At 38.8% G+C, this 27,551-nt stretch overlaps 1 long non-coding RNA gene across 1 annotated transcript in view, besides 1 other annotated feature; it reads left to right on the top strand.

The window, feature by feature from the left end:
* The window catches only part of LOC124901733 (uncharacterized), a 45,306-nt gene that overhangs the window by 7,385 nt on the left and 10,370 nt on the right, over positions 1–27,551 (top strand). The gene's annotated exons all lie outside the window — the stretch shown is intronic.
* Positions 3,892–4,016: a silencer, noted in NCBI's record as "fragment chr7:120508165-120508289 (GRCh37/hg19 assembly coordinates)". NCBI's record gives its function as "represses an EF-1alpha promoter that drives an FKBP-Casp9 reporter gene in an ReSE screen in phorbol 12-myristate 13-acetate-treated (for megakaryocytic differentiation) K562 erythroleukemia cells {active_cell/tissue: K562(+PMA)}" and the evidence as "EXISTENCE:reporter gene assay evidence [ECO:0000049][PMID:32094911]".

The raw sequence follows: 27,551 nt of genomic DNA on the forward strand, positions 1-27,551 counted from the left end.
ATATTGGTGGTGTTTTACGAGTCACTGGTTCATAGAGAAGAATCTTACCAATTCTGCCGAAATGGAGATGAGCTGGTTCTCACTTTGGCTTAAAAAATGGCAGCAGCCAGCTTGGGCTGCAAGGCTGACCATATGTTGACTTAATTAACTAGGTCTCAACAGCTCTTCCTCGGGTGAGACATAAAAACTGAGAATATAGCTACCAAAATCATGTTGCTCAAGTGGGCTCTCTTTCTTGATCTTTTCTTCCTTTTATTGTCACTAGCTTGCACATATGCAAATGACATCATAAATCATTTCCCCTTTTTCCTTTTCTCCACAACTTTCCTTCTATTCAGACCAGTGTTCCCAACTATCCCATGAATTTATCACATTTGCTAGACATCCAAGTTTTTACAAACGTGCCTTATTCAGTTATGGGAACAGGCATGGATGGCCAGAACCTAAAAACTAGACCAATCAATTAGGGTGTGACTGGAATTTGAGTGAAGACCCATCAAAAGGCAATGTAAATTCAGGCAGTCAAGCAGAACCAAGTATGAAGGGAATGTGTTGGCAAGCACTAGGTGGAAATTATGGCAGGAAGACAGATGGCAATATCACAGAATCCCAGCAAATGGTAAGAAAACTCAGTGGCACAGGAATCGGTCAGCAAAAAACATGAAAAGTGTCACGCAAGTAAGGAAAGACCCCAGTCCATGTCAAGACAAATTAGCCAGTCTCTGCCAACACTCGGTGAAGTTGATCCAGGGAGATGAACTTAGGTCCCTAGAAAAGCAAGATTCAAAAGCAAAAAACACCATCCCAGAGAAACTTCTCTAGACCCTACTTTTAAAAGTGGTAATGTTAAGATTTTAAAAGTTAGAGGTTTCCAGATTAAGGAAGATCTTAAAGGCTGTCCTGAGGAGTTTGCAGTTTATTCAGAGGCAATGACAATCCTGAAACATGTTGATATGAGCAGAAAAATGACATAAACAAACAACAGCAGGAGTTTGAAGTCAGACCTGGATTTAAATGCTGGCTTTACCAAATGTTAGTAATGGGATTATGAGCAAATGATCTCATGTCCACAAGCCTCAGTTTCCTTATCTGTATACCTACCACCGAAAGTGGTCATGAGTAATATGTAATTATGAGCCTAAATTTAGCTGGGGTCACACTGCCCTTTAAGGTTTAAATAGAATAGGCCAGCCTCTTTCCCACAAGGAGTGGGTGAAAATGTTTTCCCCTTGCAATCCCTCTGGGGATTCTAGAGATGGGGAGAGAAGGAGGAAACACTTTTTCTCCAGTTCTGAATCCATTTATGGATCATCTTTCCAACTCATACATGCTGTTCTTTTCTCTAAAGGGTGAACAGTCTTCAAGAAAAGATTTCTTCCCTGTCCAAAAGTCTATGTTCATAGCTGCCTTTGAGTGAAGTCACAAAGAATCTGAAAGTATTGCTGTAGCAGCACTGTATACAACTCAAAACCAAATATCAGAAATTCTCTAGTCCTACTTATTTCTTCCTTGTAGTCTTTCCCTGCAGTTCCCATGTTGAGTGGCTGCCTCTTCTCTGATCTCACTCATTGTTTACACCCCAATTCTAAATTCCTGGTAACTTCTCAGGCAGACAACATAGCTATCTTTTTTGTTTTACTGTCTTCTTTCAGTCTAGGCCTCAGAGATCTCATCTTTCACATACTTCTCTCCCTGCAAGAAATTCTGGTGCTTTTTACTTAAAACAACAACAAAAGAAAGAAAGAAAGAAAAAAGCCACTGTTACAGTGCTTACTATATGCCAGAAAGTATTCTAAGAGCTATACATATATTAATAATTTAATCCTCAAAAAAGCCCATATTGTATATGAGAAAAACAAAACAGATCATGCAGTTAGTAAAGGTCAAGCCAAAATTCAGTGCGGGGTGTTGTGGCTCCAGAGTCTTGTGATAGCTGATAGCACCAAACAAGTGCCTAGAAATAAATGGTTGTGCAATTATTAGGAAGATTATTCTGATAACCATATGTAGGGTAAACTTGAGACAGGGATAACAGTAGTGAGACAATTATTTGGCAGTATTTAACAAAGAAGATTCTGTGGAGCACTAAACTTTTGAGCATTCTATAGGCAAATGCATTTAGGAAATGCTAACTATTATATTTGCCCCTTAGAACTTTTGCAAACTCTAGCGTAGTAGAGATTCTGAGAACTCCTATAAGAAAGGAATTTCTTTCACTTCGTATAACCCAGCACTTCCTAAATACATTCGATCAAGTAATCTCTGTGTATCTCTGTGTGTATTTGTGCCTGTGTGTGTGAGAGAGAGACAGAAAAAAAGACAGAGAGAGTTCTTATTAATAGTGAATAGACCTAATACTCAATTGCACATATTTTGAGAAATATCAATTTCTACAAAGAAATACAGAGCTATTTCAAAGGACCTAGCAGCTAAATAGATGTGAGGCACAAAGATATAGAAATACAGGGGAAATATAAGTGATATATAGTTTGAATGTATGTTTCTGTTAAGTCTCATGTTGAACCGTAATCCCCAGTGTTGGAGGTAGGCTCTGGTAGGATGTGTTTGGATCATGGGGATGGATCCCTCAAGAATGGCTTGGGCCATCCCCTTGGTGATAAGGGAGCTCTTGCTCTGAGTTCACACAAGATCTGGTCATTTTAAAGTATGTGGTGCCACCCCACCTCCTTGCTCCTGCTTTCACCGTGTGAGATGCCTACTACTCCTTCGGCTTCTGTCATGATTGTAAGCTTCCTGAGGCCGCTCCAGAAACAGATGCTGGTGTTTTGCTTCCTGTATAGCCTGCAGAACTGAGAGCAAATTAAACCTCTTTTCTTACAAATTATGCAGTCTCAGATATTTATTTTTAGCAAGGCAAGAACGGCTTAATACAATAAGGAACTTAAATTTGTCCAAAAGCATTAAAGTACCTCCTCATGTCTACCGTGCCCTACCCCAAGGTCCAGTTCATTCACTTGGAGGATCCAATGATCACTCTCAAAGCCTGTATAATATACATCTATTTTAAGCCACTGTCCTCACTTCCACACTCCATTACAAACTTGAAGAAAACAGACACTCCACAACACCGAAGCACTTTTGCAACCAGTTCTTCATGCTTGAATATTTTTCAAATCCTTGTTTCCCTGCCTCTATCATTGTTATTTGCTTCTTTTTCACCTTCATTTGATCTTTGGATTTGACACTAGGCCATTGCCTTAACAACAAGCTTTATTCCTGTCTTTAGTCACAGTATTTATTGACTCCCCCAAGCCATCATAAGTGACCATCTTTCCTAGTCTGGGCCAGCCCCAGAACTGAACCCTCCAAGCCCAGCAGTTCCGAGCACTAGTAGTGGTGTCCTTCCAGACTGACCCTAGAAGCTCATGTGACACAGTCATAGAGCAAAACTGCATACTCAGGAAATTATACTATATTTTTAAGAGTATAATAGGTTATAGAAAGAGATTTAACTGAGAGAGAAATATACATAGCAAACACTACATCTACTTTGGCAAGGCTAAAGATCTCATAAGAAGCTCATAAGAAGCCTTGTCATCACTGGGCTTAAAAGTAGTTTCACAAATGTCAGAAGGTGTAAAGACAAGATTTGGGAGGGCAGGAGAATTCCTGAGACTGTCTGTGCTTAAACTGCTGCATTTCCCCAACATATTTCTTCTTTAAAAAGCAACCTCCTTTGATAAATATCCAGTGGCTTAGATACCTACCACAAACTAGAAGTAATTAAAAAACAAAACAAAGCATACTTTTTTTTCTTCTCAGTACCATATTCTCTTACGTCATGCCAGTGACATCTTATCACCTTTCTCTTCCTCTTTCAGACTCATCCAGTCCCTGAGTGTGGTACAGGGTGAATACTGGGTCCTAGTCACCCTTGCCCAGTCACCTTTGCCCCAGTCACCCTTGCCCAGTGCATGAGATTGACCAAAGGATTCATGCTAAGAGAGGCAAGCCAAGAGGACCTCAGGCTATTGCCTCCCTGACTCATCTCAGCTCCTAGAGTATGAGTATCATTAAGAGAAGTTTACCACTGTCCTCATCCCCATCTCCAGAGCTCTGTCTCAGAGATTTTGCCTGGGGGTAGAAGTAAGACATAAAACAGATAGCTTCTAATCTCTTTCCAGAGGAACTGATTTTATTTGCAACAAAGCATGGACAAGTATAGGAAAACAGCCAGTTGCATGGAAAGAGTGACACCATCTTGAATTAAACAACCATGATGACAGATATTTGACTCCTGTATACCAACGTATTCTACAGCAAAATGTTTAAACGATGTTTGTAGCATAGATAGCCCCTCACAGAGATGCTTTCTAATTTCCCCAGTGGTCACAAGTTTCAGCAAGAAAGTCTGAAGTGTGACCCCTGCACATGCCTTTTCCCTAAAAGCTTGCTATATACAGGATACTTTCTAGGCAGGGCGCGGTGGCTCACTCCTGTAATCCCAGCACTTGGGGAGGCCGAGGCCGGAGGATCATTTTGAGGTTGGGAGTTCGAGAACAGCCTGGTCAACATGGTGAAACCCCGTCTCTACTAAAAATACAAAAATTAGCCAGGCGTGATGGCGGGTGCCTGTAATCCCAGCTACTCAGGAGGCTGAGGCAGGAGAATCGCTTGAACCCAGGAGGTGGAGGTTGCAGTGAGCCGAGATCATGCCACTGTACTCCAGCTTGGGTGACAGAGTGAAACTCCATGTCAAAAAACAAAAAACAAAAAACAAAAAAAGAAAACAACTTTGTAGAGGGCTGGACACAGGATCAATCTTCTTGAAGCTGCCCGAGACATTTCTTTGGTTCATAAGTCCCTATTAAATATTTCTTGCTGAGAAACTGGATTTGTCAGCCTTTCTTCAGCTTTCCAACTTCCTTGGCCTTTCTGGGTAGGTTTGCATATACCTGCTTACCAGGAAACAGGAAGTTAGAGCCTAAGGCTGCTCTCAAAAACAGTGATGGTTGTGATAAAAGGCACTCCTAAATCTAATGAAGGTACAGCCTAAACCATATGGTCTAGGCTGTACCTTCATTAGATCCATGAATGAAGACAGAATCGGGGTTTTAGACAGCTGGGCAGAGTCATTCTGCAGTCAGAACAAATATCAAACACTGACCTCAGAAACTATTCCTTTGAAGAAGCTACATTTTGATTGGATTAATTTGTAGAGGAATATATGTCAGAGGCATTGTTGAAAATGATACAACAATCAGCAGGAAACTTTCATTTATTTTTTATTTATTCACAGGCACAATCATAGTGCACTTCATAGGCCTTGAAATCCTGGCCTCCTTAGTAGCTGAAACTACAGGTGCATGCCACAGCACCAAGTTAGTTAGTAGAGTTTAACAGCTGACTGTAGTCAGGAAAAGAATAGAAGAGCCTCCTATTAGGACCATTGTCATCCCAGGGTGACTGTGAAAAAAAAACAGTGCTGTGCTTCCCTACAGAGCAACCTCAGAGGCTTCACAGTATAGGAGAAAATAGATTTCACAAAAATAATATGGCCAGTTACTAAAAAAAAAAAAAAAAATAAACAAATAATAATTAGCCCCAAAGGGGAAAAGAGGACCAATATCTAGAGTTGCTAAAAATATATTATCTAAAATGTGCAGTTTCCAATAAAAAATTTCGAGGCCTGACAAAAAATAAGAAAGTATGACTCATAAAAGACCTAAAACAGACAACAGAAACTGCCTGTGACAGTGACCTGCTGTTAGATCGAACAGAAAAACATTTCAAAGTAGCCCTCATCAATATGTTCACAGGTCAAAAGAAAGCATGAGTAAAGAAGTCAAGGAATGTGTGATGGCAATGTCATATCAAATAGAAAATCTCTATACAGAGATTTAAACATTGCAAAACAGAACAAAATTCTGGAATAAAAAAGTACAAGAAGTTAAATTGAAAAATTCACTGGACAGACTCAACAGCAGATTTGAATTGGCAAAAGAATTAGCAAACTTTAAGGTAGATCAGTTGAGATTATATAGCTGAAGAACAGAGGGGAGAAAAGAATGAAGAAAAACTAACAGCACCTCAGAAAAATATTGGAACACCATTAAGTGCACTATCATACACATAACGAAAGTGCCAGGAGGACAGGAGAGAGAGAAAGATGAAAAAATATTAGAAATCATGATGACTGCAAACTTCCCATATTTATTAGAAAATAATAAAATACATGTCCAGAATGTCCTAGTGCATTTCCAGAAAGCACATAGGATAAGTGCAAAGATACTCACAAACAGACACAGCATAGAAAAATCCTAAATGTCTAAACATGAAGGAAATCTTGAAAGTCAAAAGAGGAAAATGGCATGTTCTTTACAAGGAAACCCCAATAGGCTTAACAACTGACTTCTCTGAAGAAACAAGAGAGGCCAGAAGACAGTGGGATAATATATTCAAAGGGCTCAAAGTAAAAAATAGTGAACCAAAAATTATATATCCAGTAATGCTATCTTTCAAAAATGAAGGCAAAGTAGAGTTTCCCAGACAAACAAAAAATTGAAAGAATTTGTTGCTAGCAGGCCCTCCTTATAAGAAATACAAAAGGAATTCTTCAGGCTGAAGATGATAACAGAAAGTAATTCAAATTCACACAAAGAGCACCAATAAACGTAATATTGCGTGACTCTAAATGATAATTTCAATACATATTTTTCTCTTTTCTTCTCTCAGTTGATTTAAAAGCAACTGCATAAAATTATATCTATATACTAAGAGAGAGCAAGAGAGAAAATTGTTAGGCTTATAACGTATAAAAGCATAATACATGTAAAATATATTTGCCAATAACAGTACAAAAGAAGTGAATGGGAGCAAAGTTGTAATGGTCTAAGAAATGACTACAGAGGATGAAGTAATAACTAGAAAGAAAAAGAGAGAGAAAGAAAAGAAGGAAGAGGGAAGGAAGGGAGGGAGGGAGGGAAAGGGAAATGGAAGAGATGGGAAGGGAAGGGAAGAAATAAAGGAAAAACATTGCCCATGCCTGCTTCATCTAAGTTAATAATGCCAGCCCTTATCTTTCTTAGCAGACACTTGCTAAGTTCCTGATGCCCCTCTTCTGCATGCTGAACCCCTGAAACAATCCTGATGCTGTGGACAGTATAACGGGAAGGACAAGCCCACTTGCTGCCAGGCCTTCCTAGAATCTCTTTGTCTCCCAGTTATGGCTTGCCTGCCCTATTTGCCCTACACTATCGGCCAAACACTAATTATGGGTTCCTGCCTCTACTTTCCCTGCCTAACACTGCAGTTTAGAATCCTATTTGGAATCAAAAATCTTTCCCAAATTCCATCTGCTTGGCTAAGCCTCATTACTATTCTTAATATTTCCCTCTAGAGGGTAGACCTTGCTCCCTATAATTTAGTTGTCTTCTTACTTTGCAGGAACCTGTTGAGAAGGGAGCTTTAAACCGCTATAGTGTTACCACTTGCTTAGTGACAATTTTTGAATGTTGTCTACCATCTGCCCCCACAACTATGACCACCCTTCAACACACACACACACACACACACACACACACTCTCAGTGTTGAATTTCCTTAGATACTTTGGACACTAAAACCTGCAAGAAGCAAGCCAGGGTCTGCTTTGACCTTTCTGACATGTCCCTCAAGCCCTAGAGCTGGGGTATTTTCCCAGCCCCTGCCTACATGAACCTGTGGATATTAGCATGGTTTTGTGACTTTGTTTTTGTTTTGCCTAAATGTGCCTGAATTTTAACAGTGAATACATTAAACTGTTTTCTCAGTATTAATCTCAGAGCTGATGAACGTGAGTGGCTTATAAGCTTCTCTAGTAAGTAAATTTATAATATAATTTTTTGTATCCTCACTCTCAAGATTTTGCTGATTTATTATTTTTGCTGATCATAGGTGTGCTTGCTGCAAGCTACATAGCTCTCCCCTTCCCTATCCCCTGCTCTCTTTCTTGCCAAAAGCAAAGGAACAGATTTTATAATCTACCTTGGACAGAAAATCAGGAGAACCAAGATGATAGAATAGAACTCAAAGTCAGAAGAAATACACTCTAATGAGAGTCTTGAAAAATTAATGAGCTTTAGTGTAAGGATTCTGTGATGTCTGTTTTTGCATAAGGATTTAAAGTAAAAATATTGTGTGGGTGTGTGTTTAGTCATCTATGTTTTGTGTACTTAAGGTTCTAAGATAAGTGGCTTCTGGTCATTAAAGAATTATTGAGCTAACTTTTTGAAAAAAGACTGAGAAAATATTTCAAGAAAGTTTAACTTTTAGCAGATCATTTTATTTCCAAGTCTAATTTTGTATCTGAGCTACTTCAAGTCTATAGTCAGCGAAATGACCAGTAAACTGGGAAGAAAACTAAGGTTCTAATCGGGTTTTTCCTGAGCCAGGAAACCTAGAGTGTTTAATAGCTCTCCATCCACAGGGATAAAGAGCTTTTCATTTCAAACATTCTATTAACTTATTTAATTTTATTATTATAGTTTCAATTTTGAGAAATTAGATCACATATTTAAAATTCTATCCCTTCTAGGTGGGAAAGATAATTTTTTGTGTAATTTTACAGTATCATAGACATTTTTTCAGAGGTAAAATATCCATGACCTTACAGCCTTTTCTTAAATCTAAACACTAAGTGCTAATATGGGGAATGTCCTTTAATCTTATTGATAACAGTAGTTCAGTGTTATGAAAATGACAAAGTACATCTCAATTTTTAGGGGTCAAAGTTAGGTTTATAATATTAGTTTATATATGTTGTTTGGTCAAAAAATAATAATAAAATCAAACTCCTGTTTCTAAGAGAGCTTTGGAAATAGTCCGTGTGTTATAAAAATCAGATACTCAAGTTTCCTCTGGGTGTATCTAGATTAATAAGTGTTAGATTTGCTTTCTTTATTTTTATTTTTTTGGTTTTTCAAATTTGAAGACAGTTGTGATTAAAACATACAATTGTATTATGAATCCACATTCATACGTAGTCATATAATTATTTTGTACATTGAACCTTCATTGCAGGTGCTAATTGGTAGCTACTAATTTCCTTTGTTAACTTGGATTCAAGCCCATAAATCTCGATGCATTTAACCTATATTCTTTCATTTGCAGAATAAAAATAACAATATTTCATGACTTACATGACTTGATAGTCATCACAAAACAATGACTGTGTCAGTAAATCAATAATAACTCCATACAAGTATTGCAATTCTCAATTGAAAAGACTGAGTGAAAGGTGTGATTTTTCAAAAGACATGTTTTCTGCTAAAACTAACAGTAGTGTCAAATGTTTTAGAAATTTTTGTAATGCAGATAATGAAACTGCGATGAATTCAACTAGAAATACCAAACTCATTTCAAATAGCTGGCTCATTCTTAAGAGTCACATTCCTCACTTTGCACTTTGCATTCTCCACATGAATACTGCAAAAGAAACACTTAACACGCCCTGATGAATATAACAATTATAACACAAAAGAGATCATTAATGCATCGGAACAGAAGAGTATGGTCTGTTAGCGTCTAATTAGGCTTCTGCTGTAATTATCTTCCATTTGATAAATTTTCTTCAAGTAAAAATGATAAAACAAATCATGGGTATTCGCTTAGTTTAATTAGTTAGCAACACTAAGACAAATTTAGTTTAATCTGTACCCTTTTATGTACTTTTTTCTAAAGATCTTAACTATAGGAAAGCTGAATATTTTAATGGTTTAAGTCTTTCACAATACCCACATCATAAAATCTTTCCTACACACCCTTACCTCCTATCCCAAACAAATTCAAACACTGTGCATGGTTATATATATTGAAACATTATCAAGGAGAGAGGGGATTAAGGAAACATTGTGTGACTGGATTTAGAGAATAAATGGGGGGGGGGGGAGAAAGGAGAAGAAAAGGAGAAAGGAGGAAGAGAGGAGTGGGGAGAAGAACAGATACTGAGAAGGAAAGAAAGAGAAGAAAAGGAGAGTGGAGGAAAGGCGAAAGTAAGGGAGGAGAAGGGAGGAAAGGAGAGGAGATTTAAATAAAGAAAGGAGGCATGAGAAAAAGAAGAGTTAATGAGATGACTGGAAGGAAGAGAATCAGGAACACAAAGATTGTTTTGCATTCATATCACTCATTGGTGTCCAAGCCTGATTTTAAAAAATTATCTCTCTAGCTATCTTGCTACTTGACCTACTTACCTACCTACCTATCTGGCATTGGAAGTTGTTTTGTTAAATCATCTTCCTATCTCTGAGAAAAAAACATATGAGAGAGGACTAAATTCTGCCTGTAATTCTCCAAAAGAGAAAATTCTTCAAGTTCCCTAACAATTTTTTCTCTTCCTTCTGTAACCAAGAAAACTTTGGGCTATCCAGTTGGACTGATTCAGTCTTATATCCCAGGATCAGAAGTTCTTGCTGCCCCATGGAAAATGTGGCCTTTGATCCCCAAGAGGGTTGCACGAGGGAAGAAACAAACTTCACTTTGGTGCTGAAAAGCAACATATGTGTACGCTTGATTTGGGATGGTTGGGACATCTGCTCCATCTGGACATGCTGGAGAGAATGATAAATGAGATCAATTCAGGAAACAATGCATCGGTATTAGTCTGTTCTCACACTTCTATAAAGAACTACCTAAGATTGGGTAATTTATGAAGAAAAGAGGTTTAATTGACTCATAGTTCCACAGGCTTAACAGGAAGTATGACTGGGAGTCCTCAGGAAACTGACAATCATGGCAGAAGGGCAAAGGGGAGGCAAGCACCTTTTTCACATGGTGGCAGGGAGAGAAAGAGCAAAGGCGGAGGTGCCACATACTTTTAAACCATTAGATCTTGGAAGAACTCACTCACTATCATGAGAACAACAAGGGGGAAATCTGCCTCCATTATCCAAGAACCTCCCACCAAATCCCTCGATGAAAATTGAGAATTACAATTGGATATGAGATTTGGGTGAGGACACAGAGCCAAACCATATCAGCATCCAACTGGATTTCCTTCCAACTTGTTTGCAACATGGAAAAAAAGGTCAATCTTCCTCATTAATAATTTTTAAAAATTTATTATCAGCTAAGTTTATAGGCTATTTTGATTGTCTTTTTTAAAACTGCTTGGAAAGGCTATGCTAAATGAGTTCTTCCCAAATATTTATGTAGAAGGATCCTGAGATATTTTAAATGCATATCTACATTAAAATGTTGTTTCAATACATAAATGGCATTTTGAAATGTACCTCTAAAATCCATTTGATAGTAAGTCAATTTTGATTATAGATCTGAGATGTAAAGAAAATAGTGGCTCTAAAATCTCTTCTACTATCAAAATTAATGTTTAGTAAAATAAATACCTGATAAATTACCCAGGATGCATGCTGAGATACATTGATTGAACTAAAACATAAAAAATACTATGCACACCATTGATTCAAGTTTTCAAGAAGGAGAAAACATTTGGGAACTGCTATCTAATTTTACTAGAGCTTATATTCATCTGGGAAGGATTGATCTGGCCATAAAAGTCTTTGAAATATTGAATTCTGAATTCTTGGTAAATAGCTGCTGCTCTGGGTCCACTGACTCCCTGGTTACTCTGTCCACTCTTTCAAAATCTTTGTGCTATCTAGAAAATAAAGCATTAATGTTGGGACACCCTGTGTCTTCCAGTATCTGTTCCAATAACTTGGAACATCCAACCTAAAATTGTTGGTGCCTGGACCATAATGGTATCAAATATGTTTTAATATAACCCTTGAATAGAATATGTATTTCAGTTTCACCAGCATGAGAGAATATGTTTTCAGGGATGAATCGGGTTATTGAATAACCATGGGTTTTTGATTATTTGTTGGTTGATTGTTTTTAAACTGCAAGTTTTTTCATACCTTTCTTTTCTTTGGCAAGGCCCAGCCTATCTCATTCAGTCTCTAGGCATCATTAAAGTTTGTTTTACAGACACAGGTGCAAAAATAGTGACTCAACTTCCATTCCCTCCATTGGCCTCCTTTTCTCTGGTGATGTAGGCAAATCAGGGCATTTTGTCTTCTTTCTTCCATGGTCTTTTCCACCTCCCTCAGTAAAAGAAGAAGGATGTATAATGTGTAAGCTTGTCCTCCTCTAACCAGCACAGCAGTTCTTTAAATAGTTAATGAGCAGAGAGGCTGAGGATCCCAGAATTTTCCTGTACAAATTTTGGATGTAAATTATTCATTTAGTTTCCTGGGGCAAACTTCCTTTGGATCTGGGTTGAAGGTACCGCAACTAGCAGAGATCAACCTTTCTCACTAATAATTCCTTTCACAGCTCTAACATTGAATAGCTTTACTCTCCCCTTTCACATTGAATCCCCTGAAACAAAGACCACTGTTGAGAAAAATCACACTGCTCTAGAGCCTCATCCCAAAGCCTCATTTCAGTTTAATGTGCTCAGACATCATACATCTTCTAGGAGGTAAATAAAACCTTTGGGTGCACCAACCACCACCTAGGCCTGAAATGATGCCCAGGAGATGAAAAACCAACTCCATCTCCACCACAGACACACAATGGAGCTGGCTACAAGCACGTACCTCCTTTCCTGGTTTTCTTATTAAATTTAGCATCTTCAGTTTAGTTATCATCCATAACTGTTTCATCCTAGTCAAAAACATATTCAAAATAATTGCATGAGTTTATATTTTACATTAAAAAATACAGAGGTGCTGAATAAAATAGCACTGTCTCTTCTTTCCGCATTTTGTGAAAAGAAAAAATGTTTTGCTGACATAAATTCTCCTCATTTCATATTAGTTACTTTGTTGTCTCTCTCTTCTCTGAGTTAAAAGGGCTTCAGGTGAGAAGTGATGGAACATTGATGTGTCATATGAAACTTTCCCTTTTCCACTCAGCACTGAGGAAAATATTTGTCTTCTACTTAACGAACAGGTCTTTTCTTTAAAACTTGCTGAACTTGTTTTTTAACTTAGTAACTTCAGTGTGAACCAAAACAGGGATGTTTTAGATTTTCATCTCTTTCATGCCTAGGAAAAAAGAAAGAAAAAAAAGTTCCCAAGCTTACAGGCTAAATAAGTGGAATGAAGAAAAGATTTTTAGTTTACAAAATGACCATTTAAAACTATCATTGGCTTATTAAATTATTGCTTTCCAATAAATACCAACCAAAAATCACTATCACAGACATAATATATGTAAACTGCCAATATAATTTCACTTTATTTAACAGCAATGTGTAAAGAACAAATAGAAATGATCATTCATCATTAACAGATATATAGTGCTTTTAAATTTTAATAGTAGTATTTGCTCATTATGCTAACTCAAACTGAAGCGTATGGCAAATCCAAGTTTTTTATACTCTAAAAACATTTCAATTCTACCTGAAAATACCCTTCTGTAAATCCACCCATGAAGTTTTTTAAAAAATTGGTAAGACGTAGAAGTATACACAGTTGAGCATAAGAATATTATAAACTATTTCATGTACTCAACAAAATTATGCAATTGAAGCTAAATAGTTATCGAATTACTACCCAGAAGAGTCAGCAGCTGCTTCTATTTAAGGCTTTCATATATGTCTTTGCTGTTCCCTCCCTACTCCCCCAAATTAACTCAGGATTAATTTCAAGAGCTCTTTCTCCCTGTAGGGCACTGGGAGATGATGGAATGGGGAGCAGCTGCATTTTCTGAGCCGTTTTATCCCTTCTAGCTATTTCCCTTCCTTTACTTTCCACAGTCTCTCCCTTCGCTTGTACAATCTCAATTAGTTCCCAAGCTTTAAAATACATTTACTGTATATCCTGATGATTCCTGAACACACGTCTCTAGCCTGGAATCCCTCTACTGGGAACTTGAGACTCTGTATCCAACCAACTATAGGAGATCTCAAGCTGAATGTGCACAAGATGAAGCTTTCCTGGCTAGAATATCACACAACTTTTCAGTAAGTCAGGAACAGCATCTCCTTTCATTCAAACCATTCTTTCAACCAGAAACCTAGATTTTATCCCTGATTCTTCTTTACTTATTTCTATACTGTGTTCACGCTAATGGAAAATTCTATCAATTCTACTACAAAACATGCTTCAAATCCATTTCATTCTCTGTCTCCATTGCCACCAGCCTAGACAAGAAAACTGCCACCCCACCACTGGACTACTTCCACAGCCTTTGCTGCATCCATATCTGCTCTGATTAGTTCATTCTCCATAAAAAAAAGTACAGCAATATTTATAAAATACAAATAAAATCAGGTAATGTATGTACTTAAGCAGTGAAGCATCTTTTCACTGTATTTAGAATAAATTGCAAACTACTCACTATGGTTCACCCTGCATGAAATTTTCCCTATATATACCTCTAACATCTTCCCCTCAATCACTGTACTAGAACCTCACTAGTTTATTCTTGATTTCTCAACTGTATCAATCTCTTTTCTGCCCTGGGTTTTTGATATGCTGTGCTTTTTGCCTGAAATACTCTAGCTGCTGACCTTCTCATGACTATTTCCTTCTAATTTTCAAAGCTTCCTTCAAGATATCATGCACACTGACCTTACCTAAAGTAGGCCCCATTCCACAGCTATTGTTTACCTCAGCTGTTATATTTTTTTCCGGTAAACAACTTTTACTTATTTCACATGTACTATCTCATTTAATTCTCCTAAGTACCATGTGCAATAGATATTATTGAGCTCATTCGACAGGTAAGAAAACTGAGGTTCCTGATGGCAAACAAATTTGCCCAAGGTTGCATGCCAATAAACTATAGAGCTGGAAATTTAAACCAGTTGAACCAGCTCAGAAGTTAAAAAATCTACCTCATTTCAGATAACTAGAAAATGGATCTGGCCAGTTCTAGTTAAGAGTTTTGAGTTCTTTTTACTGAACTATGCTGCTGCCCTATATCTAAAGGAATAGTGGCTAGATAAATACTTTTCATGTCCCCCAACTTAAAACAGACCAGAAAACACACGCACACAGACACGCACACACACACACACACACATACACACACACGTTTTCTATATATTGTAGACACTATCAAAATGGTAAGAGACTATGGGAGGGGGAGAGCAGGAGAGAGGTAATATGGTAAGTAATTTTATTGTTTCATCCATAATTTTCTGCACTTTTCAAAATTTACTACTAAAAACATATCCTGTCATAATTAGAAAACCACAATAAAATGTTAAATAGGTCTGATTATATCAAAAACATAATTAAAAAAGTAAGTTAAATGGAAACATCTGATCCTTTTATGTTAATTTTATGACTAGTTTTTCATTGTTTTCATATGTTTTATTAATTTATTGGATTTTTTTTACTAATTTTATATATTGTATTAGTCAAAGGCGCCATACAACTGAGATTAGAAACTATAATCTTCTGAGACTTTGCTTCCTCTGTGTATTTTCCTGAGCCAATTCATCAATTTTTTTTATTAATTCTAAAGCCACCCTAAGTAATATTTACATTTAAATTGTATATTCATGTATACCTGAAATTAATTATAAGGAATGGTACATTATTTACACAAGTGACAAATGCTTCTCAGAGATATTTGATTTTTTCCATAGTTGTGACTATTCCCTAGAGTTCCATTAATAACCTTTACTCAGTCTAAAATTGCTGCACCACAAATCCAGCTTCCTACTGACAACTCAGTGGCATTTCTACAACAATAGGCCTAAAAGAAAACTCTTTACAGCCCCAAGCTAAATTAAGTGCCCCTCAGTGATGCTCCCATAACACCCTATGTGAACTTCTTTCAGCATGTACATTGTATATCACAGTTATTTGTTTGTATAGTCCTCACTAGATGATAACCTGCTCAAAGGCAGCCCCGTTGTTCATCTCCTTAGTATCTAGCAATGTCCTATAGGCACTCTCTCAACATATTGTTGGACTTAAAAAATTGACTTCTTTAAAATAATATAATAAAAACCAGTAGTCTTTCCTCAATCAAAATCTACATCATAAGAAGTATAAAGTTAGTCAATCAACATATGTTTTATCCCTAAAAGATTCAGTTAACTGTAGGCCAGATTGGGAAAAGTTCGACGGAACAGTTGATCAGCTGGAAATTTTTGACTTCTGGTACACCAAACAGAAGATATCTACAAAGTGTATTTGGGATGATGGTCAAGTATTTGATTTCAGTGTTCTTTTACTGCATGGAATTGGTGTCAGTTTTCTTCTCTTATTCATTAGATTCTATCTCTGTTATTCCATTTAAAAGGTGTGTTTAGATGTACAAAGACTTCACTGAAAAATAGTGAATTTCAGTAAGGCTGTAAGTGCAGGAGATATCTTTCCGCATTTATATAGTTCAAAAAAAAAAAAACCTCACCCTTTTTGCATCCAGATCTTGTCAGCATCTTTGATCTTTGCTCTCTCTCTCTCTTCCAGGTCATTCTATTTGATTCTTTGAATGTTGTTTAGAGTTGGGGTCTGATATAAAATGTCACTTTCAGAATTTCATCAACTGGGACAGTAAGTAGAAGATAATGTTTTTAGAGTTTCCAGAGAGGAGATTCAAAGTCTGATGCTTTGCCTCAAATAGTCATAAGGACTGGGGGGCACAAGCATCCACTGGCTATATGAAAAAAGGAAACACTTGAAAATATGGCTAGTGAAAGAAGGAGATCCTAAGGAATTAAACAGACAGCCCAAAATCTATATAGACAATTGTGTCACTTAGGGGTGTAGGGTATGCAATCTCTGGGAGATTGCATGAGGCCAGAACTCCAACTCTATGACTTAGAGTTCTGGCAGGGTATTATTTACATTATGTAGACCATTGGCTAACTTTGCAGAAGGGTCTTTGGAGCCTCCATTTGGCTGCCAGCCATGATTCACTGCAGCAGCATGTTGTCAAGGCAGCTAGTCTTTCATCCACACACCCATGCTGACCCTTCTGCAGAAACTAACCCTTTCTCACCTAACAACACAAACAACCTTATTTTCACACTACCATTAAGAATCACATCTATTATTTATAGGTCATTATGTAACAATTCTTTTCATATAATACTTCTAAGCTTCACCACAACCCTATAGTATAAGTATTATCATCCCCAATTAGAAAAGTAAGAGGTTACATATCTTGCCCAAGTTCTCAGATCTAGTACAAGGTTGAATTGGGATTCAAACCAAAGTCTCTCTGGTTCCCCAACCCCCTTGTCACTGATAACTAGTGATCTATTCAGTCATCACAATAAATTCTGGAGAAGGGACAAAAGCCATTTTGAAGTGCAAACTCATGAAAAAATCATTAAGTAAATTACATTATTAAAGTTACAATCCTGTCTTCATTATTAGTAGAACTGACTTGCTTATCATAAGAACCTATGATTATCACTTAAAGTGTGTGCTTTAATCTTTTTTTTTTTTTTTTTTTTTTTGAGACGGAGTCTCCCTCTGTAGCCGAGGCTGGAGTGCAGTGGCGCGATCTTGGCTCACTGCAAGCTCCGCTTTCTGGGTTCACGCCATTCTCCTGCCTCAGCCTCCCGAGTAGCTGGGACTACAGGCGCCTGCCACTGCGCCCAGCTAATTTTTTGTATTTTTAGTAGAGACGGGGTTTCACTGTGGTCTTGATCTCCTGACCTCGTGATCCACCCGCCTCGGCCTCCCGAAGTGCTGGGATTTGTGTGCTTTAATCTTGATGATATGTTGTATTTTTAAATATTCAGTTATTAAAAAGATAATGTATTTTAATGAGGCAATAAACAAGTTATATTAATTTTTTTGTTTTTGAGACAGAGTTTCGCTCTTGTTGCCCAGGCTAGAGTGCAGTGGCGCGATCTCACTCACCGCAACCTCCGCCTCCGGGATTCAAGCGATTCTCCTTTCTCAATCTCCCAAATAGCTGGGATTACAGGCATGTGCCACCACGCTCGGCTAATTTTGCATTTTTAGTAGAGACAGGGTTTCTCCATGTTGGTCAGGCTTGTCTTGAACTCCCAACTTCAGAGGATCCACCAGCCTCAGCCTCCCAAAGTGCTGGGGTTATAGGTGTGAGCCACCGCACCCGGCCACAAATTATATTAATTCTAAAATGGAAGGAATTGCTAATAATGCTATTAGAATGTGGTATGTTAAAGGTCAGTTGTCTGCCTCCCCAGTCATCCTGGGTTAGCATTATCTTGATGAATTCCCGTGGTCTGATATAGAAACCTACCTCAATTTTTTAACATCAGAAACTTGATTTGTCTGTATGCTAAAAGTGATTCCTATTAAATGAGAGTTTTGTTTCTACCAGACTAATTTTTATGTCGTAAAAAATTATTAACAGATTATGTTAGTTTCTTTATTCAATTTATTCATGTCATAATTTAAAATGATTACTTCTTTTTATGGTTTTCAGTTCATTTTAAAAGCCTTATTACTCCATTTACAAAGCTAGCAAATTTTCAATCTCTTTAAAGGAAGCCCTTAGTAACTATCTAGAACCAGTTATAAACCTTGTTAATTAAACTCATTTTAACATTTTAAACTACATTAATACCTTTATATACTCAATTTCTTTCTACACATACTTACATTTATCTAATAAACTTTCTCAAGTATTAAGTAATACTTATAAAATTAATAAATAAAACTTTTAAATGGTTTCTTTTAATTTTCCTTAAATAATCAAATATCACATTTATACTTAATTGTATTCAGTCTACATACACATTTCTAAATCAACTCTCAATTAGACATTTTAAAATGGTGTTACAAGCTTGATCTGTTATTCTAACAAAGTCTTTAATCATTATGGATGCTTATTATAGCAAATACATGCATGTTAATTAATGTAAAAATAGTAATATCACATTGTGGTTGCCTTAAACATATCTACTATTAATTCTAAGTCTCCCCAGATATAAAAAATGCTTTTCCACAAAGGAAACATACCATCTCACAACATTTTGGGGGTTATATCCCTACATAATTTTTGGAGCTGCCTTCTCAGCTTTTCAATGATCAGAGGATAGTTGAGCAATGAGACTGGATCCTGTCTCTGATATGGATGGAACGTATCAGCTCCTATAAATTATAACACACTGTTAATAGGACTTCAAAAATGAAAGAGAAACATTTCATGTGGCTCATATCCATTAAAAATGAGTTACATTATTATCTAATTTTCAAGTCAGGTTAGAATCTATAACTTCCACCTAGGTGGCCATATCTCTTAATTGGATTTTGTTTTCCTTAGTTCTTAAGATAAGTAGATGTATTCACACCTAGGGGTAAAGACATTTGAGTGTAAGGCAATCCTACCTTTTCTCACTTTAATCAAATCATACAACTCTTCCTAATATTAAATGCATTTTGGATTGTAATCTGAACTCTTTTGGAGTTTTGTCTATTTTGATCATAAATTTCAAGGTCATTCAAGTGATAGATCTATCTCTAAAGGGCAGATGCATATTAACCAGACTCACAAAAGAAAAGTATCAAAACAAAATGCCAATGTATTCATTTATAAGGAAAAATATAACTGCTAAGGAGGACAGGCACTTAAAAATATTTTGATGTACACAAAATTTTCCTATAAACAAGCCTCAAAAAGTGGCAAGTTATTATCTGAAAGCTGCCTGGTGAGTATGGAATCAGAATAAGAGGAGTTATGTATATTATTTGGATAATTAATGACCTCAGCATGAAATAATCTGATATATCTGCCAGAATTTGGAGGACACTAATAGACAGCAGCCCTTCCTTCCCTGCCAAGTTTGGTACCAACTAAAAGGCAAATATGGAGTTAAACAGATGGCGCTCAAAGTGTCAGCTTTATTATTGATTAAGGCTAGGTTAGAGACACAGCTTTAACAATGCAACTAAATGAACTTGAAAATATTTCTTCAATAGGTTAGATTACTAACCTTGTTATGATACAACTCTTCAAACCCAGTTATGTCCCTAACCATGCCCCTGACCACAGGGCGGTAGAGGACCAAAATGCATGTAGCATCCCACCTGTGCTAAGAGACTGCTTTCCGGAACGGGGTGGTGAGAGAGAGAGAGAGGGAGAGAAGAGAGAAACAGATAATATGAGAGAGAGCAAAGAATGTCATTTTTCTTTCACAAATTTCACTTATTAGATAAGACATTTACTCTCTTGTGGGAAGGATTAAGAGTTAGGACTATTTCTCTTACGGAATCCTTTCACAGAAGGAATGAAGGATAAATGCCTCCTAAGTCCTAGCAACATTCATCTTTACATAAAGGATATATATGCCAAAGGGTCAGGAAAGAGTTGTGCATCTGGATCAGAAGTGCTTCTACCCACAATGGAGTCAGGATGAGACTGCTGTTTTACGTCTCTGTGATTCTCAACTTTCCATGCTTCTATTGCAGTCCAATCCCTTTCCTCATTTGCAGTTTTTTTAAGTTCTGTTAATACATTAATCCAGATTGGTGTCAAGTTTTGTGAGCCTGGAAGCTATCTGGCCTCTCTAAACAGTCTTTGCATGTCTCTGCTTTGATCCATTATGTATATATCAATCTAAATTCCTTCAATTCCAAATTCATGAAGGACGCTCCCCATAACTCCGCCAAAAAACTCATACTTAGTACTTCTATTATAAATATTGAAAGTTATAATATAGGGAATATGTCTGAATAGAGTGAAAATATTATCAACTACTGATCATCTAAGAACTAATTATCTCATTTGCACTCTAAGCATGCGTCTTAGTTCTTTCCTACCTCCTCCTTCTGTGCACATTTTAATCAGTTATTTTTAGACTGTGTTTCTACCATGAAGGAGAATTCATGAAATATTTCACATGTTTCTTACTAGAATGGCTTTTAAAAGGTATCTTTCATATAATTTATCTATATTATTTCTGTTCCTGATAGCAGAAACTCCAAATGTTGTATTTATTGAACTCCTGTTGATACATAGAATTCCACAGCATGGGTTTAATTCCTGAATGGTTCCTACCTGTTGCTTTACTAGCAATTCTTTGAAAAAGGAAACAAGGAAAATAGATTTAAAAATTGGATGATAATAAGAGATGAGATCTGTGTTCTCATTTCCATTCAACAACAATTTACTTATGACATTTGAACCCACTATGAGATCCTAATGTTATAATAACAAAAATCAATGTTTTATATAACATTGTGTCTCCCAAATGAAGTTCCACTGAACACTAGTTCTAAGGATTAAACTATGTTACATAAAAACAATTTCTTGATCAAATAGGTTTGAGGAAGGGGTAATTAGACACACTATATTTTTACAAGACTTAACAGCAACTTTAATGTTCCATTAACAATACTGTATTTCATTTACCCTGACTTCCTTTTAATTGTATGATGAAGAATTAATTATGTTCCATTAATAAATGAAAAATACTGCTAACTAAAACATGGCACTGGAGTCAGGTACCTTGGCATGCACCTGTAGCCCCAGCAACTTGGGAGGAAAAGGCAGGAGGATCACATGAGCCCAGTAGTTTGAGGCCAACCTGGGCAACATAGCAAGGTGCCTTTCATGCGCATCCATGTGAAGAGACCACTAAACAGGCTTTGTGTGAGCAATAAAGCTTTTAATCACCTGGGTGCAGGCGGCCTGAGTCCAAAAACAGAGTCAGTGAACAGAGATAAGGGTGGGGCCGTTTTATAGGATTTGGGTAGATAAAGGAAAATTACAGTCAAAGGGGGGTTGTCCTCTGGTGGGCAGAGTGGGGGTCACAAGGTGCTCAGTAGGGGAGCTTATGTCATCAGTTAAGGCAGGAACAGGCCATTTTCACTTCTTTTGTGGTGGAATGTCATCAGTTAAGGCAGGAACCGGCCATCTGGATGTGTACTTGCAGGTCACAGGGGATATGATGGCTTAGCTTGGGCTCAGAGGCCTGACATTCCTGTCTTCTTATATTAATAAGAAAAATAAAACAAAATAGTGGTAAAGTGTTGGGATGGTGAAAATTTTTGGGGGTGGTATGGAGAGATAATAGGCGATGTTTCTCAGGGCTGCTTCGAGTGGGATTAGGGGCGGCATGGGAACCTAGAGTGGGAGAGATTAAGCTGAAGGAAGATTTTGTGGTAAGGGGTGATGTTGTGGGGTTGTTAGAAGAAACATTTGTCGTGTAGAATTACTGCTGATGGCCTAGATATGGTTCTGTATATATTGAAAAACTAAATGGAATAAGAGAAGGAGAAAAACCGGTATAAAAGGTCTAAGAATTGGGAGGACCTAGGACATCTGATTAGAGAGCGCCTAAGGAGATTCAGCATAGTCCTGCTAGCAAAGTTCATTTATTTACTTCAAGAGTTTAGAGTGGCAGTTTGGGGATAGAACCAGGAGATATCAGCTGTGATGGCTTGGAGAAACAGTGTAAACTGGCAGTGTAAACAAGAGCAGGGCATGTATGAGTAGTTGAGAACGGTGAATAGGAGTATGACTAGATAGAAGATAGTAGGGATGACAAGTTTTTTTGGGCACAGTCTAAGTTGATCTGGTGTCTGGAATGAGACTGGGGCCTAATAAAAAGGAGCGTCTATACAGGAGCTCAAATGGGCTGTACCTTGTAGCATTCTGAGGACAGGTCTGACTTCTGAGAAGGGAAAGTGGTAAAAGTATTGTCCAGTCCTTTTTAAATTGGTGGCTGAGCTTGGTGAGGTGTGTTTTTAAAAGACCTTTAGTCCGTTCGACTTTTCTTGAAGACAGAGGACCGTAAGGGATATAAAGGTTTCACTGAATACTAAGAGCCTGAAAAACTGCTTGGCTGATTTGACTCATAAAGGCTGGTCTGTTATCAGACTGTATAGAGGTGGGAAGGCTAAACTGAGGAATTATGTCTGACAGAAGGGAAGAAAAGACTGTGGTGGCCTTCTCAGACCCTGTAGGAAAGGCCTCTACCTATCCAGTGAAAGTGTCTACCTAGACTAAGAGGTATTTTAGTTATCTGACTCGGGCCATGTTGAGTAAAGCTAATTTGCCAGTCCTGGGTGGGGGCAAATCCTCGAGCTTGATGTGTAGGGAAGGGAGGGGGCCTGAATAATCCCTGAGGGGTAGTAGAATAGCAGATGGAACACTGAGAAGTTATTTCCTTGAGGATAGATTTCCATGATGGAAAGGAAATGAGAGGTTCTAAGAGGCAGGCTAGTGTCTTGTACTATAGCATAGCCTGCCTTTGCTGCTGTGTGGCAATTAGGCCTGGTGGAACTGCCATCAATAAATCAAGCGTGATCAGGGTCAAGAACCGGAAAGAAAGAAATATGGGGAAATGGGGTGAATGTCAGGTGGATCAGATACAGTCATAAGGGTCAGGTGTGGTATCTAGAATAATGTGGGAGGCCAGATTGAAGTCCGGACCAGGAACAATGGTAATTGTGGGACTTAACAAAGAGTGAGTACAGCTGAAGGAGCCGGGGAGCAGAAAGTATATGCGTCAGGTATGAGGAAGAAAATAGATTTTGGAAGTTATGAGAAATGTAGCGAGTGAGTTGAGCATGGTTTGTGATTTTTAGGGCCTCTAAAATATTAAAGCAGCGGCAGCTGCTGCATGCAGACATGAGGGCTAGGCTAAAACAGTAAGGTCAAGTTGTTTGGAGAGAAAGGCTACAGGGTGCTGTCCTGGCTCTTGTGTAACAATTCTGACCACACTAACTATGCTTAGGAAGGAAAGGAGTTGTTGTTTTGTAAGGGATTGAGGTTTGGGAGATTAATCAGACATGATCAGCAGGGAGAGCACGTGTGTTTTTATGAGAATTATGCCAAGATACGTAACAGATGAGGATGAAATTTGGGCTTGACTGAAGTAATGGGGGCTATCTGCGAAGCCTTGTGGCAGTACAGCCTAGGTAATTTGCTGAGCCTAATGGGTGTCAGGGTTAGTCTAAGTGAAAGCGAAGAGAGGCTGGGATGAAGGGTGCAGTAAGGAAAGCATGTTTGAGATCTAGAACAGAATAATGGGTTGTAGAGGGAGGTATTGAGGATAGGAGAGTATACGGATTTGGCACTATGGGGTGGATAGGCAAAACAATTTGGTTGATAAGGCGCAGATTCTGAACTAACCTGTAAGCCTTGTCTGGTTTTAGGACAGGTAAAATGGGGGAATGGTAGGAAGAGTTTATAGGCTTTAAAAGGTCATGCTGTAACAGGCGAGCGATAACAGACTTTAATCCTTTTAAAGTGTGCTGTGGGATGGGATATTGGCATTGAGCGGGTTAAGAGTGATTAGGTTTTAATGGGATGGTAAGGGGTGCATGATCGGTTGCTAAGGAGGGAGTAGAGGTGTCTTATACTTGTGGGTTAAGGTGGGGAGATACAAGGGGAGGATGTGAAGGAAGCTTTGAACTGGGGGAAAAGGCGGCAATGAGGTGTGGCTGTAGCCTAGGAACAGTCAGGGAAGCAGATAATTTAGTTAAAGTGTCTCGGCCTAATAAGGGAACCGGGCAGGTGGGGATAACTAAAAAGGAGTGCTTAAAAGAGTATTGTCTAAGTTGGCACCAGAGTTGGGGAGTTTTAAGAGGTTTAGAAGCCTGGCCGTCAATACGCACAACAGTTATGGAAGCAAGGGAGATAGGCCCTTGAAAATAAGGTAATGTGGAGTGAGTAGCCTCCATATTAAGAAGGGGATGGACTTACTTTCTACTGTGAGAGTTACTTAGAGTGTCTGTGATGGTCCTGTAGGCTTCTGAGGTGATCAGGCAGTGTCAGTCTTCAGTTGCTAAGCAGAGAAGATCTGGGAAGGAGTCAGTCAGAGAGCCTTGGGCCAGAGTTCTAGGGGCTCTGGAAGTGGCTGCCAGGTGAGTTGAACAGTCCAGTTTTCATTGGGGTCCTGCACAGATGGGACACGGCTTAGGAGGAATCCTGGGCTGTGGGCATTCCTGGGCCTAGTGGCCAGATTTCCAGCACCTGTAGCAAGCTCCTGGGGGAGGAGGTTCTGGAGGAAACTTCGGCAGCTGCGGTTCAGGTGTTTGGAATTCTTGTGTGCTGGAGATGTGGCTGGGGTTTGTCTCACAGTGGAGGCAAAGAATTGCAACTCAGAAATATGTTGCTACTTGGCTGCCTCTACTCTATTATTGTACACCTTGAAGGCAAGGTTAATTAAGTCCTGTTGTGGGGTTTGAGGGCTGGAGTTTAATTTTTGGAGTTTTATTTAATGTCAGGAGCGGACTGGGTAATAAAATGTATATTGAGAATAAGACGGCCTTTTGACCTTTTAGGGTCTAGGGCTGTAAAGCGTCTCAGGGTTGCTGCCGAACAAGCCATGAACTGGGCTGGGTTTTTCATATTTGATGAAAGAGCCTAAATGCTTTCTGATTTGGGAGAGATCTCATAAAGAAAAAGGAGCATTAACATTGACTATGCCTTTAGCTTCAGCCACCTTTTTAAGAGGAAATTGCTGGGCAGGTGGGGGAGGGCTACTCACGGAATGAAACTGTAAACTGGACCAGGTGTGAGGAGGGAAGGTGATAAAAAGATTATAGGGTGGAGCGGAGGCTGAGGAAGAATTGGGACCTAGCTCTGCCTGGCGAGGAGCAGTCTGGGGAGGAGGGGAGAGGTCAGATGGGTCTGTAGAAAAGGAAGATTGGAAAGACTCAGTGACGCTTGGCATTGGGTCTGAGGGGACAGGCAGGAGGGAAAGAAGGAAGATTTGGGACCAGTTGCACTGGGCACAGAGACTAGGGAGGGACTGATGTGTGAAAGAATGCCTGGATGTCAGGCACCTCAGACCATTTGCCTATTTTTTGACAGAAATTATTTAGGTCTTGTAGGATGGAGAAATCAAAAGTGCCATTTTCTGGCCATTTAGAACTACTGTCGGGTTTGTATTGGGGTCAAGCAGCATTGTAGAAGAAAATAAGTCATTTAGGTTTTAGGTCAGGTGAGAGTTGAAGAGGTTTTATGTTCTTAAGAACACAGGCTAAGGGAGAAGAAGGAGGAATGGAGGGTGGAAGGTTGCCTATAGTGAAGGAGGCAAGTTTAAAGAAAAGGGAGAGTAGAGACCCAGAGGGAAGCAGTTCAGGGGTTCTTACTTTTCAGAAAAGCGGGAAAGGGGTCAGAGCGCAGAGATAAGAAGTCAGGGCACGGAAATAAGGGATCAGGGTGAAGAGATATAAGAGGTTGGGACGCGGAAATAAGGGATCGGGGCGCAGAGATATAAGAGGTTGGAGTGTGGAAATAAGGGATCGGGATGCAGAGATACGAGGTTGGGGTACTTGCCCCTCCCCCAGAAAAGTGGGACTTGCCACTAAGGGTGAAAGAGAAGGGGTTGGGGGTTTCTTGCCCCCTAGAAAGGTGGAGAAGGGGTAGAGACATGGAGAGAAGGGGTTGGGGTACTTGCCCCTCCCCCAGAAAAGCGGGACTTGCTGCTAAGGGTGAAAGACCAAGGCAGGCGTCCCTGCGTGGTCTGACACCTCTGAAACCTGGGCGAATAATCAGAGAGGCATCCCTGCAATGATTAAACACCAAGGGAAGGCTGCCTTCCCTAGTCCGTGACCAGTGCCGGAGTTTTAGGTCCATGGATAAAATGTGTCTCCTTTGTCTCTACCAGAAAATGAAAGAAATTGAAATTAAGAGAAGGGAGAGATTGAAGTGTGGTGCCAAGATTGAAAGGAGAAAGAGGCTGAGGGATAGTGAGGGAGGCTGGAGAAGAGAGTAAAAAGAGGCTGCTTACTGGATTTGAAATTGGTGAGATGTTTCTTGGGCTGGTCGGTCTGAGGACTTGAGGTCGTAGGTGGACCTTTCTCACGGAGCAAAGAGCAGGAGGACAGGGGATTGATCTCCCAAGGAAGGTCCCCCAATCCGAGTCATGGCACCAAATTTCATGCGCGTCCGTGTGAAGAGACCACCAAACAGGCTTTGTGTGAGCAATAAAGCTTTTAATCACCTGGGTGCAGGCGGGCTGAGTCCAAAAAGAGAGTCAGCAAACAGAGATAAGGGTGGGGCCGTTTTATAGGATTTGGGTAGATAAAGGAAAATTACAGTCAAAGGGGGGTTGTCCTCTGGTGGGCAGAGTGGGGGTCACAAGGTGCTCAGTAGGGGAGCTTTTGAGCCAGGATGAGCCAGGAGAAGGAATTTCACAAGACAATGTCATCAGTTAAGGCAGGAACAGGCCATTTTCACTTCTTTTGTGGTGCAATGTCATCAGTTATGGCAGGAACTGGCCATCTGGATGTGTAAGTGCAGGTCACAGGGGTATGATGGCTTAGCTTAGGCTCAGAGGCCTGACAGTGCCATCTGTTAAAATAAAACTGACACTGTTATGCAATGACCTTCTTAAAGATGAAGGTCTCTTAAGTCTCAGTATTTTTATTTTATGCTTACTAAAAGCGCCTCCTTAGACTTATTTAGGCAAAGATTTCCAATACATGTCTTTCTTGTATTTACATTAAAAGGAAAATAAACCATATAAGACATTCCCAATACAATTGACCTTTGAACAACATCTCGCAAAGTCAAAAAATCTGTATATAACTTTTGACTCCTCAAAACCTTAAGTACTAATAGCCTACTGTTGACTGGAGACCTTACTGATAACATGAACAGTAAATTAACACATATTTTGTATGTTATATGTATTATATAATGTATACTTACAATACAGTAAGC

The sequence above is a fragment of the Homo sapiens genome, chromosome 7 (genome assembly GCF_000001405.40).
Source record: "Homo sapiens chromosome 7, GRCh38.p14 Primary Assembly".
Lineage (NCBI taxonomy): Eukaryota > Metazoa > Chordata > Mammalia > Primates > Hominidae > Homo > Homo sapiens.